This window comes from Homo sapiens, chromosome 8 (genome assembly GCF_000001405.40).
Source record: "Homo sapiens chromosome 8, GRCh38.p14 Primary Assembly".
NCBI lineage: Eukaryota > Metazoa > Chordata > Mammalia > Primates > Hominidae > Homo > Homo sapiens.
The window spans coordinates 129856454-129876085 of record NC_000008.11 but is presented as its reverse complement, the minus strand read 5'-3'; the positions used below and the strand labels follow the sequence as shown (position 1 = coordinate 129876085).

The 19632-nt window shown below is 37.2% G+C and overlaps 1 protein-coding gene and 2 pseudogenes across 84 annotated transcripts in view, besides 2 other annotated features; 2 read left to right on the top strand and 1 right to left on the bottom strand.

Annotated features, from left to right (window-relative positions):
- The window catches only part of CYRIB (CYFIP related Rac1 interactor B), a 177537-nt gene that overhangs the window by 141044 nt on the left and 16861 nt on the right, over positions 1 to 19632 (top strand). For 74 of the 84 annotated variants that reach the window (NM_001353270.1, NM_001353245.1, NM_001353252.1 and 71 more), the window contains 2 exons: positions 4590 to 4711; positions 13752 to 13857. Coding sequence is in view for 50 of the 84 variants with exons in the window: in NM_001353245.1 (NP_001340174.1) it covers positions 4590 to 4711; positions 13752 to 13857 (228 nt within the window). In the remaining 34 variants the exon portion in view is untranslated. The remainder of the gene's footprint in view (positions 1 to 4589; positions 4712 to 13751; positions 13858 to 19632) is intronic. The other 10 variants (NM_001353269.1, NM_001353273.1, NM_001353282.2 and 7 more) reach the window with 1 other exon arrangement.
- Positions 5227 to 5779: an enhancer, noted in NCBI's record as "H3K27ac-H3K4me1 hESC enhancer chr8:130882553-130883105 (GRCh37/hg19 assembly coordinates)". NCBI's record gives its function as "activates a minimal SCP1, AML or CMV promoter by ChIP-STARR-seq in naive H9 embryonic stem cells {active_cell/tissue: H9 hESC(naive)}" and the evidence as "EXISTENCE:reporter gene assay evidence [ECO:0000049][PMID:30033119]".
- Positions 5780 to 6334: an enhancer, noted in NCBI's record as "H3K27ac-H3K4me1 hESC enhancer chr8:130881998-130882552 (GRCh37/hg19 assembly coordinates)". NCBI's record gives its function as "activates a minimal SCP1, AML or CMV promoter by ChIP-STARR-seq in naive H9 embryonic stem cells {active_cell/tissue: H9 hESC(naive)}" and the evidence as "EXISTENCE:reporter gene assay evidence [ECO:0000049][PMID:30033119]".
- On the top strand, positions 7370 to 7496 carry LOC124900265 (uncharacterized; annotated as a pseudogene).
- Positions 10723 to 11617, bottom strand: RPL15P12 (ribosomal protein L15 pseudogene 12; annotated as a pseudogene).

Here is a 19632-nt window from a genome sequence, read left to right as displayed (position 1 = left end):
GCTGGAGTGCAATGGCATGATCTTGGCTCACTGCATTCTCCACTTCTGGGTTCAAGTGATTCTCCTACCTCAGCCTCCCGAGTAGCTGGGATTACAGGCATGCAGCACCACACCCAGCTAATTTTTTTATTTTTAGTAGAGATGGGGTTTCACCATGTTGGCCAGGCTGGTCTAAAACTCCTGACCTCAGGTGATCCACCTGCCTCAGCCTCCCAAAGTGCTGGGATTACAGGTGTGGGCCACCACACCTGGCCCATCATGGAAGACTTTCTGATGGTGATGTTTGAATTGGGTTTTGGAGAGTGAATTAGAATGTTTTGAACTAATACAGTAAAGGACAGTAGAAAGAAGGAACAACATGGACAGAGACCTTAAGGCATGAAATGTCATTCTGTATTCAGTTAGACGTTTAGTCTTGATAGAAGGATTTTTTCCTTAGAACAGATTACACCTATATGATAAGATTTTATTTTGTTTTTATTTAATAATAGTTCAGTTAAAATATAAGCCCAAAATTGCTCCATAAAATTTGGCAGCAGTTATGCTATTGACAGCATATAAAAAGCACTCAATCGAGCTAGGTGCAGTGGCTCATGGCTGTAATTCCAGCACTTTGGGAGGCCACAGCAAAAGGATCACTTGATTCAAGGAATTTGAGACCAGTCTGGGCAACATGGCAAGACTCTATCTGTATGAAAAAAAAAATTTTTTAATTAGCTGGGAATAGTGATGTGTGCCCTTGCAGTGAGCTGTGATTTGCTCTACTGCACTCCACCTTGAGTAGCAGAGTGAAACTGTCTTTGAAAAAAAAAAAAAGCACTGAATGGGGGCCTGCATAGCCTCTTCTAGTTGTTGGAATTTCCTATTTTATAACAACAGTGTTAATTTATAGCTTATTCTAATGACAAATCTTTAGCCTCAGTAACTTCCATAACTGCTAGCTCACTAAATTCTAGTTCTTGGGAGAAAAGAGACTTGTATTTAGTTTTGTGTCCTTTCCCAATCTTAGCATAGTGCTTTTTAAATGATAGAAGTTCAGTAAGTATTTTTTAAACTTGACTCACTTACCTCCAGGGAAATCAAAATAGGAGAGTAAATAGAGGTAGTCATTTGTTAAGGGAGAAATAGAGTATATTTTCTCTGATTCTGTTATAGTGCCTTTCCATTGAGTCATGCATTTCCTCTATAGTTCTTGTGTCCTTTGTGTTACTTGTTTCCCCCTTATCATTTAGAAATATTGGGACCTACTCTAACTTATTTTTTCATTTATCTCTTGCATAGTTTCAGTTGGTTTTGCCCTGTACTTTGAAATATCTTTATTCTGGTGTCATCTTTCTTATATTTATTTTTCAAAAATGATATAGGATCATAGTTATTCAGAGATCAAAAAGCATAGTAGTCTCCTTTAATTCATGCCAGAGGCTTATTTATGTCTCTGTACCCTCTCATTCATTCAAAATGTATTACAGAAAATCTAGGTACTGAGTTTACAGATGTACCAGTGGTACATACTGTACATTCTGGTCTCTGTCTTGATGTAACTTACAGAGATAGATTGCGTAGGTTTATTAAGTGAATTAATGTAAAATTAAAGCAGAAAGACCCCTTATCACAATTATAATTTTTATCTTGACTTTTTATTTTTTCATTTCATAGTTAATCTTTGCTTCTTTTTATATTACAACGACTTCAATTTTAGCAGTTATATTGACTCTTTTTCTACCCTCCACCCTATAAGAAATTAGTGTGAAGTTAATAAAATTTTTAATTTACCTTCAATAAGAACAATTGAAACATGCCTTAATTTCCCTTGAACAGCTTTAAAAACTAAGCTTGATGAGTAATGAATATGTCTACCCTCAGTAGTAGATACATTATTTTGCAATTTTGCATGTCCTTTTGTAAGCTGACTAAATGGTACTTTTTTTTTAAATAGTAAAGCCATTTTTTTCTATGGAAAATCAAAGTGACAAGTCTTGGTTGCATTATATAGTACCGTTTTTTGAAAAAAATAAAATAAAAAGCTTTGTTTTATACAGCTTTTCCCCCTTCCTAGTATTTCACCCTTTTGCATGACTTGCTTTCAGTAAAGTAGTGCTTACTTGTCTGCTATTTTCTGTTTGTCTTCATTTCTATAGCAGTCTTCAGCAGCTTTCAAAATTATAAATGTGACTTTCCTGTGACAGTCTAAAAAATGTTTAATCATTGTGGTGCTGGGTGTTTTTCTCACCCTAAAGGGAAACTTAAATCTTCTCCTCTATTTTTAAATTTCTTGGTACTTATTAAACCTTTACTAGTTATTAACCACTTACAAGGTCTACTTAAGTCTACTTGATAATGTTTCGTTTGTATGTTAAGTCTCAGTGTCACATTTTTATGTTAACAGCTAGTCACCACACCTAAAATACATAGTCTAGCATTTTCAAACTTCACAGATACCTTTGATATATAATAGCTAAACTATTGTCCTTTGTCATGAATTCCCACTTCATGAATTCAAACTAAATACGTGTCTACTATTGATGTTATGTCTGTAGTTTCACAATTCCATATGAAAAAGTGTAAGACTGTCGTTTTTTGCATGTAAAACATATTTTTCTCTACTGAATCTGATGTAAGTATAAAAGTTATGAAGTGTGCTTTTTTAAAAAGAGTGTATGTCTGACTATTACATTGGAAAATATGGTCTGGCTAAATGTAAAATATTTAGCAGTAAATTATTACTGCTAAATAGCAAAGCTTGATCTATAAGAAAGCTAACCATTTAGTTGCAATATCAGTATTTGTTCCTAGTGATAATACCTTTGTAGCCTTGGATAGAGAGTCTTTTTAATTTTTCAATTGGCTCCTCTTGTATAATTATTTTGTCACAGTATTTTCCTCCTAAAAAATGATTTCTGAAAAGAAATTTGAAAAATAAGGGAACAGATATGTAAACACATTCTTAAGTTGACTTTACATATGAATGTTACTTTATTGTTGCTGTAGTACTGTTTTACATATGTTGAGTTTAAAATTTGGTAATGTAATTATTGAATTTTAAAAAAAATGTGGTATATTTTTGACTATTTGGCAGGTTTATTAGGTAGAATTGAATTATGACTTGCTCCAAGCACAAAATAACGTTACCGTTTTTAGGGATCTTTACTCCCAGTTTCACGTGTAAACAAAGTTTCTTTACAATGTTCTAAGTAAAGGAATAAAGAAATCATTGTGTATTTGTGGTGAGGTGAAAAGGAGCAGAAAAGTCTAGTTAACTAATTTTATATGATTGGTAGACAAAGATTTACCAAAAACCTTCTTGTTTGTTAAAATATTTTTAAACTTAAAAGACCAGTGTGATAGTATTAAAAACGTTCTTACTTCATCTTATAAATTTGGACTGATTCCTTTTCCCTCATAAGAGAAAATTTTAGCATGGAGGAATTCTGCCAGTCATTTTTCTCTAAAATATGATAATCATAATGTTTATGATTTTAAGTGCTTTATGCCTTACCTGTGGTGCTGAATGTGGCCTAGTTGGAAAGATTTGTAAAGAAACCTTCATTTCCTCTTAGAGTCCACCTTTTTCCTTAAAATATAAAAGATTTGTCCTTAGAGAAACAAATGACCAGTATTATTAAAAGCAAGATTTCTGTTAACTTGAGTCAAGCAGAGAGAAATCCAGATTTAGTCATTCATTAACATATGTTTTGTGGCTAACACCACAGGTGGTGAAAATGCCCATATGTTTGTGTCCTTGATTCTGCTTTTTATAACTGTAATTCTTCCTTCATTTTTCTCTTACTCCCAAGTGTGTAGGAACTCAGATTTTCTTTAGTATTTCAAAATTTCAGTAGTAGTATTGTAGTGTAGCTTAAAGTATCTAGTTTTCAGCAGCTGAGTAATTGTGGAGCAGTTTTATAACTTGAAATCCTCTGCACAGGATTCTTGACCTTCTGTTCATCAGCAGAATAGTTCAGTGATACTCTCTTGGGTTTGTTGTTAGATATATATATCCTCTCTTCTTTAACCTATAATATCATATATGTTGAGACACTTTCGAAGTGATTCCTGGAAAAGGGGGTGAGCACCTAAAAACTATTAAAGTTTTTTTACTTTTTTATATCAAAACTCAGTCATTAAAAGTAAAATGAACTTTATAGGAAAATAAAAATAGTTTGTCTTAAACTATACATGAGCAACATGTTTTAGTAGGCTTTCTTTTGCATTAAAATCTGTGATTTCTGATGCATTTACAGTGATAGTGATGAATGTAGTAGAAAAAGTGATTGTTAAAACTATCACAATTAAAAATTTTAATTATAATTCTCAGATTGGTTTAATATACCAAGTCCTAATTTGGAACTTAAACTAAGTTAATAATGTTTGGTGTTCCCTTGTTTTCTGTAATATCTATGTACTTGAAACTAGTCATTTAAATGTAGGACTATGGAAAAAGTATTAGTCTTTTCTTTAAAAGTTCAAAGTTAACATTAACTAGAATTAACTCATCTTTGGAAATTTGGGTTGTTAATTGCTTAGAGTTACACATGTATTTTAAAAAATTCATGTCACTGTAAATTTTCTTGTGCTTTCCTGCTGTTTAGATGCCCAGCCTACAGAGTCTGAGAAGGAAATTTATAATCAGGTGAATGTAGTATTAAAAGATGCAGAAGGCATCTTGGAGGACTTGCAGTCATACAGAGGAGCTGGCCACGAAATACGAGAGGTAAAGCGCATTTATGTATTTTCTAGTTAACTGAAACTTACTGTCCCACCTCTTTGTAATCTCTTGTTTTCTAGACTTCAGAATTCTATATTTCATATTAAGTATTATATTTGAAGGATGCTCACTTGGCATTGTTTCAGAAGTGATTGCAGTGAAATGAGCATAAAAGGAAAAACTGTGTTCCATAAATAGGTAGTTTTTGTAAATTAAGAAAATGTTATTTACTTTTTGGGTTGCTCTTATACCTGAAATTTGCAGTATTTATGTGGTGCTTCCTAGGAGAAAGTGGAAATCATCCTTGCAGTCAGTACACCTTCCCCATGACTTTACATCACAAAGAAAATATGTAGTGTGGTCTCCCTCAACTTTCCTCTCCCAAACTGCTGAACTTTTTCAGGTTTGCATTCATCTCATTTTTTGTTTCTTTTGTTTTTCAGAAGAAGCTGTGTCCTTGCTTCTTTCCAAGACTGACTTCTTTACCTTTGTTCTTCATCCTGTTCTGAAACTTTACTCTTTTAATTATTTCTTCTTCTCTTAATTAAATCTTCTATCTTTTTTCTTTTACTGAATTCTTCCCCGTAGCATATCCATGTTTAGGTGTCCAGAACTACACAGAGGAACTCCCTGTCCCCTGGGCCTTCATCTCTCCCCTTCTCATTACTGCATTTCTTGAAGCCATTGCCCGTGCTGTGTTTCTTGATTCTTCCCATCCTCTGTTTTGTTTATTATTGTCTATAACAAAGAGTGCAGAGGTCATCAGGGTCACTCTTTGGGGCATACATTCCATATGGGGCATACATTCCATATCCACCTTGATTTCTCTTCTGACATTGGAGTACTAGTGAAGGCAGAATCAAGTGCAGACACCAGAAGGTGGTGATTCAAAACATGTGTTGGTGATTGACCAAATGTTTAGGGCAAGGGAAGAGAGAGAGTTAAATGATTCCATGGTGTTTATTTTATTTTGAGACAGGGTTTAGCTCCGTCACCCTGCCGGAGTGCAGTGGTGCAACCACAGCTCACTACAGCCTCAACCTGCTGGGCTCAAGTGATCGTCTTGCCTCAGTCGCCCAAGTAGCTGGCACTCACCACCATGCCTGGCTGATCCCCTGCCAAATAGAGGCAGGGTTTGCCATGTTGCCGAGGCTGGTCTTGAACTCCTGGCCTCAAGTGATCCCCCGCCCCGCCCCAACCTGCTTTGGCCTCCCAAAGTGTTGGAATTACAGGCATGAGCCACCATGCCTGGCCCTTGTTTTTATTTTACATTAGCAGATCGTAGTGTCATTAACTGAGGGAAATTCTGGTGTGAATTCTGTTTGTTGATATGCACCCTTCCTTTGTTTTTGTCTGGAATGACCTTCCTTTCATTTTTTTCTTCAACGCCCCCCCTCCCCCCACCCCCCCATAATCTCCTACTTCCTCTTACTCTTTTGCCCACATTATACACATTTCTTTTGTGGGAACCATTCCTTTTTTTGGGCGGGGGGGAGGTAAAACATTACTATTGAGTGTTTATCTCTGTACCACTGTACTTCCAGCTTGAGGAAGGTAAACCTGGTTTCTTATATATTTTGTTATTATCAGCACCTAGTACATTGTAAACTTACAGCACTTAGTAAGCGGTTAGCTGTTGAACAAATAAATACAAGGGCTTTGGTCTTGGCATTGTTATTGGCTTAAGTAAAACCTTAAGATTTCAGTAACTAAGGCATATAAGCATTTCTGTGAAATTCAAGTTCTCTAAACATTTAAACGTATTTTGAAAAATCAAACATTTGTGGAAGTGAAAGATTTAAATGATTTAGTAGGATCTTAATTAATTGGTAAAATTTTTTATGATGGTTATCAGTGCTACAAATTAGTTTAAATTGTTTATAAGTGTTAGGTCATTAAACTTCTTTAAAGCTTGTTGTTATGAAGAGAAAAATCTTACTCGCTATAGAGACAAACACTATTCATTACCTGTTTGATTTTTTTTTTTTTTTTTTTTTTTGAGGCAGAGTTTTACTCTTGTCACCCAGGCTGGAGTGCAGTGGCACAATCTCGGCTCAGCAACCTCCACCTCCCAGGTTCAAGCAATTCTGCCTCAGCCTCCCGAGTAGCTGGGATTACAGGCATGCACCACCATGCCCAGCTAATTTTTGTATTTTTAGTAGAGATGGGCTTTCACCATGTTGGCCAGGCTGGTCTCAAACTCCTGACCTCATGTGATCCACCCACCTCCGCCTCCCAAAGTGCTGGGATTACAGGCGTGAACCACCGCGCCCAGCCTTTTTTTCTTTCTTCTTTATTTTTTTTTCTTCTTTTTTTTTTTTTTTAAATATAGAACTCTTAGGCTTTTTTTTAATGGGGTTTCGCTCTGTTGGCCAAGTTGGTCTTGAACTCTTGGCCTCAAGCAGTCCTCCCGCCTCAGCCTCCCAAAGTGCTAGGATTATAGGTATGAGCCACTGTGCCCAGCCCGGGTTTTTTTTTTTTTTTTTTTTAATTGCAGTACTTCCCATTGGGAGAATTATTCTGCTTCTGTGTGTGGGAAGGCTTTCTACAATAAAATAATAATAGTGTTTTCTCTAAAGTCTGTTTATATATTTGATTGGATGCATATTAAGATTCATTTGTAATCTTTTGGAATAGAGTATAGTGGTAGAAAAGTTTATATATAGGATATATCAAAGAGACTTTCTGGGGCTGGGAAACCAGGATCTCGTAATGCTATGACCAAAGATTGAAGTTTTGCATAGGATACCGTAGTCACTCAGTAGTGCTGTTTTCCTGAGGAAATACAAGACATAGCCACGCATAGTTCACTCAAAAATAGTCCATGATTGGTGATGTGAGAAAGTAAGTAAGTGTCTCCAAGTTTAAAAGAAAAGAGAAAGTTTACATAGAAAAATAACATTGAAGAACACCAAAATATAAGGGAAAAGTAAAAAGCAATGGTAAGTAATTCATCTTACCAGGCTTGAAACAACTTATAAAGGTACCATTGTTAAACATTGATAAGTAATAAAAGAGAAATAGGCATTGAAATACAAAATATGTAAGCTAAAAAACGGAAAAGCTGCATTTAAATCTACTGTAGATCGGGGACAAATATGTAACTATTGAAGCAGTTGAAATTTTTGTTGAGAAGTTGATGCAGGTTTAATGATACAAAGAGAAAAGATTTCTGAAGAGTAGAGAAACAAATTAAGAAAGGAATGTACAAATAAAAGATGAATATACACCAAATATACAAATAACTGATGTGTTACAAGAGTCATAGGTCAATAATTAAATTGCTAATAGTGTTAATTAATAAGACTTAGAGCAGCCAACTATTCTACCTATAAAAAAGCACAGACAACAGAAAAAATGGTCAGCTTTGCTAGTAAGTGCACATCACTGTGAAGAAGTTTTGGTTGGTTTGTGAAGAAACAGTAATCTCAGTTAGTGCAAGAAGTATTGTAAAATGGGTAGTCTTTTTGGAGGTCAGTTTGAAGTATATTTAAAAAAAAACTATAAAATTGTTTGTGCTCTTGCACCAGGTACTTATATTTTATAAAACATTGCAAACAACTAGTTTAAGAGGAAATGTCAATGTAAAAACTGGTATGGCCGCCTTATTCATAGTAGCAAAAATGTGGAAGCAATTCACAGCGTTATTATGAAGATAAAATTAGACAATCCATGTAAACAGCATAGCACCGTGTCTGATACACAGCTAAAATGAACTGAGAGTTTTCTTATTATCACTGTACTAATAATGTTGAATTATATATTAATATATTTTACTTTAAATAATTTTTTAAACATTATTAAATAGAATAAAATTTGATTTAAGATAGAATCTATTAAATAAACAATGCTTATTGTCTAGGATTAACCACCTAGAGGGAAATAAGTACTTTCCATTAATGTAATATGTCCCTAACCATTTTAACTTTTTTTTTGTAAATTTTAAAAAAATAAATAGCCAAATTGGTGGCACACACCCTGTAATCCTAGCACTTTGGGAGGCCAAGACAGGTGTATCACCTGAGATCAGGGGTTCAAGACCAGCCTGATTAACATAGTAAAACCGCATCTCTACTAAAAAAAAAAAAAAAAAGCCAGGTGTGGTGGCACATGCCTGTAATTCGAGCTACTTGGGAGTCTGAGACAAGAGAATCACTTGTACCTGGGTGGTGGAGGTTACAGTGAGCTGAGATTGCACCATTGCACTCCAGCCTGGGCAACAAGAGTGAAACTCCATCAAAATAAATCAATAGAGACAGAGAGACAGACTTGCTGTGTTGCCGAGACTGGTCTTGAACTCCTGGCCTCAAGCGATCCTTCTGTCTCAGCGTCCCAAAGTGCTAGGATTACAGGCGTGAGCCAGTGTGCCCAGCCAGTTTAATATTTTTGAAAATAAGTTATACCTGCTCTGTAATAACCTCACCATTGACGTTTACTAAGTGCCCTTTTGCATGTTGGGCTATAATGGGTGTTGACCCAAAACCTTATCAAACAGAGTAAATTATTGTGAGAGGACAAGGAATTAGAAGTATAAGGAAGAACCATAAAATGTTTATTATAAGAGAGCAGCCAGTGTCTTCAGTTCTAAATCTAGGCAAGGCAGGGGCAGGGAAATGGTTATCTCTGTCCAGTTATGAAAATGGGTGACATTTGCTAGAGCATTTTTATATTGTGAGAATGAATTGATATTTAGAAAAGCATTTTTAGATCCTTGCAAGAAAATAGGATCGACTTCTTTAAGAGAAGAAAATAAAATTTTAACTTTTGTCTATTTGCTTTTTTGTTGTTGTTACTGTTTTTAGTTTAATAGACATTTATTCCTTTAGTTGAACAATCTCTATATACAGTCAAAATGTGTGATTTAAGTTATTATTATTTTTTTTTTTAGTAGAAAGGAATTTAGATCTCAAGAACTTCTGTGAACTTTCTATGAATATTCCCTGGAAATCAGTTAACCAAGCCTTTTGAATCCCATAGAGAAGATAGGAGAAAAATTAGTCCATAGAAACCAGTATTTAAATTAAAGCCAGCAAATCCAGAATTGAGAAGAATTGTGCAATTCCTTTTCTGCATTTCCTTCACACTCAAATTTACCCTGGTAGACAGTAGCCTCGTCTATGGAAAAACGTGATAAAAACAAATGCAATGCATTGTGGTGGTATGTAAATGTTGGCACATACCTGATGTTCCAGCTTTGTTGAATGATAAGGATTTTAGGGTAGTTTGAGCAGGGACAAGAAAAATAACTGCACACAACACATACGGTTAGATTGGAAACCAGGAACTTATACTGGCTTCAATTATGACTTTTCTCTGTAGCCTGTGAGTGTGGACAGAGTGGGTTGGCTCAAGATGTTTTTATTTGTAAGGCTAACTGGTCTAAGAATGATGTACATGCTTCTGAATAGCCAACTATTTTCCCCGATGTGGCTGAAGGGATTCATAATGGTCACAAATTAGTGTTACTGATAAATATTTTAAAAACTTGATCAAAGTTGACTTTTTCTACCCTCACACTTGAAAGGTATTTATCTAAAGCTTACTGGCTTCCCATCCTAGCATTGATTAGTAGTTTGTAAAAGTTAAGGTTAATAATTCATATTTATATAACATTCAGTTTCACAATACGCCAGTGTAAATAGCCTTACTGACTACTATCCATTGATTTCTATAGAGCTATGGCATTGGAACTTTTATGTGAACTTAAAATGCTACTGTGGAGACTGAGGCAGTTTTGTTTAGGTTAACCCAGATTTGTTTCATTCCTAAGAAAAGCCTCTTGCAACACGTTTATTATTCTGAGAAATGATGGCATTTTTGGAAACTTTTCTCTCAGAAGCAGGAGTCATACAAATGAAACAATAGATTAAATTCAAAAATGTGGATTCTATTTGAGTCCATGTTTTTCTACGTATGATCACGACATAGGGTTAAGGTATCCTTCTCCCACTCTGCAAATGTCTAAAGCAAAACTAAAAAAGTTTGTACTTGCTGAACCCAGCCACTTGAAAGTAAACCAGCACAGTGTTGCCATCACCCCAATAAAGCTGTAAGATTAATCACATGCACCAGACAAATCTGCAGAGCTAGTTAAAGAATTTATTTTAAACCTCCTGCACCACACAGCATGTTTTAAACACTTGACATGTAACTCCAAAGTTTATCTTACTAGAAAGAAGACATACTATCACTTTAAGTTCTATGATTTGACAAAGCATTCATGAAATAATCTGCAGACTGTTTTTGAAAAGTAACACCTGTAAACAGACATAACTATCCTAAATTGTTTATTAGATATTAATTATACAAACATATATTAGTGGTGAAGGTGGAGCTGGAGAGCATTCTACCTTCTCCAAGCTGCATGGCAAGAACCAGACATAGTTTTGTGGAATTTAGGGACCATCCAAGCCATTGCTCTTTCAGCTGGCAGATGTCAGCCCACGCATCACCCTGTGCTTATAGACTGGTATGGTGATCTGTTGGGTGTCAGGACTTCTTCTATAGCTTTATGGAATTGATCAATGAGGAAAACCTCAAAAATGTGTACGTGGAATCTTCACCAACCCAGTAAGAATTCAGGACGCGGCCCCACAGTGGTGTCCAGCTCACTCCTTAGCAATGTACCGAAGGCTTTGAGCAAACTTCAGCAGATTACCACCATAAAGGACAGGCTACCCATACATTGCACCCTTAGGAACTGGGCATTTTCAGCCGCCACAGTACACACAAATCCTATATATGACATAACCTTGTGTGGCCTAGTCTGCACACTTTATTGGGCTGGGTGGGGCCAGGATCTCTGTGGAGAGAAGAGAGCTGATGGTACTGCCATCAGTGAAAGCACACTACATCAAACTACTTCTTCCTCCATGCCTCCTGGATGGACTTGTGTGTACCCATCTTGGCTTATTTGATGGCTGCCACCAGACAGAAAGGCTTATTTACTTGTCTGCTGAATAACAAATACAAGAAACAAATTTTTACTACCTGATAGAAATCATTACCAAGTCTGGGCCTGCGGCCAAAGGATTTTTTTTCATCTATATCAGCATATCAAGGTCTCTTTGAGATGTTCTCATTACTATAGAATGTGAACAAAGGATTGTTACATGTTGTAATGTCAGATTTTCTTCAATGTTACAATATTTCTAGATTAATGACATAAGTAGGATTGACTTCAGGCTTCTAATGGGTTTAAGCATCATTTAAAAATATTGAATAAAACATCAATTTGAAAATGGTGCCAAGCTTGTAAAGTAAATTGCTTAACCAGTATATAGCCCATTAATTCAGTTTGCAGCTAATTTGTTCAGAGCATCCGTTAGATCTGTCTGGGTTCAATTTTATTTTGCTTTCCTGAATTTTTGTTTTTTGTGTGGATGGAGTCAGAATACTAGTGCCTTGGGAGTATTGAGACATGTCATATAACCTCTTGGTAGTGTTTATAAGCAGGTCCCTGCTTTAGTTCTGAATTTCAGATGGTATGTTTAGTTTGTTTCAAGATGTTAGAGAAAGTAAATCAGGTTGTTGAAGAACATGTTAACTTCTGTAAAGGAGTACAAAAAACATCTATGGGCAAATGAAAGATAAAGACAAAAAAATATGTATTTTTGGAAATAACCCTCTATTCAGAAAAGATTACTTAATGATTTGAAAGACTGGGTATAGAAGAAGTCATTTATATTAAGGATCTCTAGATTATATTTTCTTCCCTTTCAGATTTGAAACTAGTTTTTCATCTTACTCAGGAAAGCCTGAGAAAAGTTATTATCTAGAATAGGATAGGATTTTAGTTATAGAGAATAAGTATCTGTGACAATTCTTCTTTTTTGTATTTTCTTTTTTTTTTTTTTAAGACAGAGTCTCGCTCTATCACCCAGGCTAGAGGGCAATGGCATGATCTCGGCTCACTGCAGCCTCCACTTCCCGGGTTCAAGCAATTCTCCTGTCTCAGCCTCCTGAGTAACTGGGATTACAGGCACACACCACCACACCTGACTAATTTTTGTATTTTTGGTAGAGACGGGGTTTCACCACATTGGTCAAGCTGGTCTCGAACTCCTGACCTTGTGATCCGCCTGCCTCAGCCTCCCAAAGTGCTGGGATTACAGGCGTGAGCCACGGCGCCCAGCTGACAATTCTTAAATCACAGTTTCAGCTTGATTTAGGTTCTTAAGTCGTAGGTAGTTTTCTTAATGCTAGTTTAGACCCTGGAATTTTAATTATTGGAAATTTCTTAGCCTGTTCCCAGAGTTGGCATCTTATTGTCTTACTTTTTGAGTTTTCTTTTCTACTGCTAAAATAATTCTTTGACAAAGAAATACTAAGAGACTCTGTGATATGGGAAACATATGCAATATTTTTTTTTGTGGATCTGCTGGGCACCAAGGCATAAAATATTTAACAAACATATTGGATCATTTTTAAATTTTCATTATGTTCATATCTATTGCAAGGATAACTAAGAATGTATTATGTTAGTTATGTATCTAACTAAGGTTGAAGTATCTATGGAGCTGAGAAGACCCACTCTTAGCACTCCTATGGAGTGTCTGTGGAGTTGAGAAGACTCACCCTTAGCACTCAATATAGAATATTCAACACTCAGCCGTGCGTGGTGGCTCACGCCTATAATCCCAGCACTTTGGGAGGCCAAGGTGGGTGGATCACCTGAGGTCAGGAGTTCGAGACCAGCCTGGCCAACATGGCGAAACCCCATCTCTACTAAAAATAAAAAAATTCAGCTGGGTGTGGTGGCGCGTGCCTGTAGTCCCAGCTACTTGGGAGGCTGAGGCAGGAGAATCACTTGAACCTGGGAGGCAGAGGTTGTAGAGAGCCGAGATCACGCCACTGCACTTCAGCCTGGGCAACAGAGTGAGACGCTCTCTCAAAAAAAAAAATATTCAACACTCCTAGATTCAATATTCTATATTTTATGGATTATACCAGTGTTTCCTATGTTTGCTAAAGCCTACATTTTAATGTAAAAATGAACCTTTTTTTTTTTTTAACTCTAACTATTTTTATTCTTTGGATTTTGAAGGCAATCCAGCATCCAGCAGATGAGAAGTTGCAAGAGAAGGCATGGGGTGCAGTTGTTCCACTAGTAGGCAAATTAAAGAAATTTTACGAATTTTCTCAGAGGTTAGGTAAGTTGAAAGTTTTGTAATTGTGACTTCCCTAGTGAAAAAGATGTTTATTCATTCCAGAAGTTTAGAGTTTTTTTATGTTCATAATGCTGAATTTGGCTTAGTATCTGTTTTATAAGTAAAGCAAGCTTGTTAGACTGTAAGATTATAGTTAATCTTCTTTCAACCCTGGCCTTTTAATTCATTTAGACCATTTTTGTCCACAAGTTATTTTCCTCATCATCTGTCGTTTTACATACATGAATCTGAGCATTGATTTTAAATGATTTTAAGAACACAAAAGTTTGACTAACCAAGGGCCTGAGGATTACTTTCCCATATATGGGAAAAGGACTTACTGTAGCGATGGAGAGAGATTCTACCAAGTGATTTCTCATAATAGGACCCTTTAGCATCCAAAGAAATCAAAGAGGTTTTCTTGAAATTTTTACTGGTTACGCTTAATTCATGTATCTAAAACTGTAGAAGATGAGAAATAGGCTGGGTGTGCTTGCTCATTTCTGTAATCCCAACACTTGGAGGCTGAGGTTGGGAGATTGCTTGAGCTCAGGAGTTCGAGACCAGCCTGGGCAACATGGCAAAATCCCGTCTCAAAAAAAAAAAAAACAACAAACAAACAAAAATAAGCTGAGTGTGGTGGCACATGCTTGTGGTCTCATCTACTCTGGAGGCTGAGGTGGGAGGATCACCTGAGTCCAGGAGGTCAAGGCTGCAGTAGCTGTGATCACACCACTGCACTCCAGCCTGGGCGACAAAGTGAGACCCTGTCTCAAAAAAGAAAGAAAGAAATAGAAAGCTAATGATATACCCAAAGTTGTCTAGGGAGTTATTAAAGCAAAAAGAGTTCAAAACAGTTTGCTTTTTCCCTTGCTTGGGAAAAATTATTCAAAGGTCAGAATTGTGTCTTCAATATGAGTAAGCAAAATTGGAACTCCCTTTATTGGAGGAGGAGGAGGCAGAGCAGGTAAGATTTAGCCAGTTAGCTCTTTGTTTGATTTTAAAGTTGTAAATGTGAAGCACTTTATTTTGTACAGTGAATAGACACAGGAGAGGAATAGTATAGATGTGTGTCAGAAATTAGGACGATTTGAATGTAGTTAAAACACGTACTTCCATATAGTTTGAATTTTTGAAATGTATAAACATTACAAATTAATCATAAGAAAATCATACTGTGATTGTTTTTTAAATACATAAGCCAGAAACCAGGGGGTATATACTGTAAGACTGAAGTCAAACTGGGGACCCAAAAGCTAAATTTAGACTTGAGAGATGTGATTTGTCTGGCCCACATAATTTTGAAAATTTCTACTTAGTTGCCAGGTTTAACACTTGGTCACTGTATGGTTTTTTTTTTTTTTTTCTTTAAGCCTCCAACTAGCAATAATTGATCTGCATGTTAGAGAGCCAGAACCACATGGCAAACCATCTCTGCCTCCATTAGTTAGGACTTGTGCTTTCTAGTTTGTAATAAGTTTTTATTGCTTCATGTTTTTTAATATCTTACTATATTTATATTTGCTATTTGGCCATTTGTATTTGTAACTTCTGAAGTTGAAGTTCCATTTTTTAAAAATGCCTATGTTCTTAAAAAAAAGTAAGACAGTTGCTGTTTTTCCTTTAGATGCAGTACAGCCTGTTAAATGTAATGTTAAGACAGACAGTAGTTTGGATAGAAATATTGTATAAATTATCTTTTTCTTACTGGAAATAAGAATTGTAATTTATTTTCCCAATTTTAGTATTAGTTATTTTACAGTATTTGTCTTTCAATCAAGAGTCTCTATAGTTTGTAGCTTTGCACTTTATAACCCAATCAGCCTAGGTTTTCTGTCTTGGTTGTCTTCTCTACTATATACAGCTTTTCTTACGCTGGTTTCTGGCTGCATTTATAGTTAAATTGCTTTTGATGGTGCTCAGATGCTATTCAAGCTCATCTTGGTCTTTTAGCATATCCCAATACACAAAGAATAATTGTAAAATAGGCCAAACTAGTTGGACTTAAGTGTTATATTTTTACCATGGGAATTAATCGGTCTCGTGGTGTGTGTCCCATCATGGGTGCTATTCCAGCACAAACAGCACCATGGAGCAGCATGCAACTATGAAGACACACATGATCCTTCAGAATCTTGCAGTTCTAAGGAGAAGGTTTCTTGGCCTGAGCACTACAGATACACCATGGGTTATACTTCAGAAGAAGGACCCTGATCCCTTGCCAGTTTGCATACTTACAATGGGACAGGGCAAGGATTACCTGCTTAATTTGAAGATACTCAGTTTTGCTGACAGGGTTTAACTACACTGCCCTGGTAAATGTGGGCGGCAAGCCACCCAGGTGCCGAGGCAAGAGACCGAGGACACGAGTTGTTCCAGTATAATAAAATATGAAACAAGAATAGTTATACCAGATATAGATCTTAGATATGATTACATATGAATATCATTAATCATTAATTGGTACAATTACTCTTTATTCCAATATTATAATAATCCTCGCTCTATAATCATAACCTAGGAAAAGCCAGGCCATACAGAGATAGGAGCTGAGGGGACATAGTGAGGAGTGACCAGAAGACAAGAGTGCGAGCCTTCTGTTATGCCCAGGCAGGGCCACCAGAGGCCTCCTTAGTCTAGCGGTGACACCAGCGTCTGGGAAGATGGCCGTTGCCAAGCGGACTGTGGTCTAGCGGTAGCCTCAGTGTCAAGGAAAAACACCCGCTACTTAGCAGACTGGGAAAGGGAGTCTCCCTTTCCCCGGGGGAGTTTAGAGAAGACTCTGCTCCTCCACCTCCTGTGGAGGGCCTGACATTAGTCAGGCCCACCTGCAGTTATCCGGAGGCCTAACCATCTCCCTGTGATGCTGAGCTTCAGTGGTCGCGCTCCTAGTCCGCCTTTATGTTCCATCTTGTACACCTGGCTCTGCCGTTTAGTTAGCAGTAGCAAATTAGTGAAAGTACTAAAAGTCCCTGATAAGCAGAAATAATAATGTAAGCTGTTTCGCTCTTTCTCCTCTCTCTCTCTGCCTTGGCTGCCAGGCAGGGAAGGGCCCCCTGTCCAGTGGACATGTGACCCATGTGGCCTTCCCTATCATTGGAGATGGCTCACACTCCTTATCCTGCCCCTTCGTCTTGTATCCAATAAATATCAGTGCAGCCTAGCATTCGGGGCCACTACCGGTCTCTGCGTCTTGGTGGTAGTGGTCCCCCGGGCCCAGCTGTCTTTTCTTTTATCTTTGTCTTGTGTCTTTATTTCTACACTCTCTCGTCTCTGCACACGGGGAGAAACCCACCGACCCTGTGGGGCTGGACCCTACAGTAAACTTGCCATACTTGCTTGTTCTGTACTTGCTTGTTTTGTTCTGAGGCCTTGGAGCCCCTCCTGTTGAGGCAGATACCTAAGGGAAGGTTGTATGGTCAGGTAGTAGGACAAACTGCTTTGTCTCCCCTCAGTCTTGCTCATGCTTTAGGGGCTTACATTAGGGACTGCCTCCAAGGGTCATAATAAGTCCCTTCAACATGTTAGCTTCGTTTCACTGGGCAGAATTTATCAAAATGTATTTTAAAGGCCCCAAATGCCCACCGTTAATTGTGGTCATGACTCTTGGTTGTCTTAAATCCTTTAGAATCCATGTCCTCAGGTTCTCTTCTGAGAGTTTGAGAGTAGATAGATGGCAGTTGATGAGAATAAACGACTGTTGTCTCTATAGGGAAACTCTCCCCAGGGGCCTCCTCTTCCTAATCAACTAGTTATTCTTCCCTGTCCTAGCTTGTGGACTGATTTGTCATCTTTATCATTCCTTCTAGTTGTCTTTTCCTTGCAACCTCCTTCTGTGGTTTTGGCTCCTGCACTCATCTGCCAGCTTCCTTTGGTTCTTCCAGAACTTAGGGCTTAATAGACTATTAATTTTCTCCTGGTCATCTGCTTTTTAAAAAATCATAATCTCATGGTTTTGTTTTAGGAGCTTCATCTGAGTCCAATCCCAGGCATCTTTTCTTTGTCCTCTCTTTCTCTCCAACTCATCCAGAGACCTCTGGGACATTTTCTGTGGGATTGTCTCCAGTTTCTCTCTTGAGACAGAGCATTGTAGGCTAGTAGGACTGACTTGTGCCAGCACAGGCCTGCAGGGTGAGGCTGATCTAGCTGCTTCAAAGGCAGATTAGCAGATTTATCATCTTGAGCTTCCCTTTCAACATAGATCTACCATGGAGGGCCTCAGCCATTCATAGACAAAAGTTCTGCAACTACTGGTCACTGACCATCCCAACTTAGTCAAGCGACCTGACTCCAGTCCCAAAAGTGGTAGAGAACTTGGAATGCTGAAATTAACCCTGAGACTTGATAAAGTCTAGGCAGATGCATTTTTCTTTTTTTCTTTAACAGACTATAATAATATTTTGTAAAAATGTTTTTTTCTGTTCGGTGTCTCTCTTACTTAGTTTTCCAGTTAACACCAACAGAAAGAATGAATCTTGGGAGAAGTAAACCATTTTTAAAATATAACCCAAAATGTTTGACTTTTAATTGATCTTCTTCACATCCACTGTTACACCTTGATACACCATCCATACCCCTATAGTCCATGCTCCACACTGCAAATGAAGTAGCATTTTAAAATGCGAATCTGCTGACGCCACTCCTCTGCTTAGATGATTTCTCTAGGGACATTAGGATGCCAAAGCCCGAGTACTTAATGTGGTCCACAAATTACATGTGTATGAATCATCTTAGTCCTGGTTACCCTCCTCCTTGCCCTCTGTGCTCCTATATTGGTGGTGTTGCAGTTCCTCAAGTATGTCATGCTCTTCTCAGTTCAGGGTCTGGCTTCCTGCCTTTCTGTCTGCAAACTCATGTTCATCCTTACTACATACTTCAGTCTCAGTCCAGGAGTCATTTATTCAGGGAGATCTTTTCCTGGGCCTTCCATTAGGTGAGGTCTTATTTTTATACCTTTCCACTGTACTTATTTTCAGCACATATCACAGCTGTAATCATTTGTCTGTCTTCTCTCTATATAATAAGGCTCCATATGGGCACAGGGAGCATGTCTGTCTACATCCATTTTCCCAGTGCTTGGCACAGAGTAGCCAGTCAGTACATTTTCAGACTTACTGGAAAAAAAAGGATAATAGCTGTCATTTAGAGTTATTACATGGATGAGAAATAATGTCTGTGAAGAAATAGTTCAGTACCTGGTATCTGACAGACACACAGGAAGTACCTACTATTGTTTTTAATCAGTAGATTAATGTTTTGTAGGGTTACAGAAGTAATTGGTACTATTGGTAGTAATCAGGAGGTTAATGTTTTATAAAGTTACAGAGGCTACGTACAATGTTGCTTTATTTCAGAGACAGTTTATTGTGGTAGAAAGAATAGGGCTTTGGAGTCAGAAATACCTAGCATTTACTAGCTATAACTTTGGGCTCTAAGTTCTTTGAAACTCATTTGATCCATCTGGAATGACCATGTCATAGTTGATGGTAAAAATCAAATGGGAGACTATATTCAGTGTACAGTAGATGTTGACTCATACGTAAATCTTCATAAATAGGAAAACTGGGGTTTTTTTAAAGTTACGGGCTGATGACCTGACATAAAGTTTTAAATTTATCATTAATATTTGTTTGTTAATCTGACATTTATTAACATCAGATCATAGTTTAACTCTGTAAGCTCTTATTTTCTCTGACCAGAATCTAGCAGCATTTTCCAGTTCTGTGATCTGTAACTGAATTCATTTGATTTCTATGGCTTTTTGAAATATTGAAATGA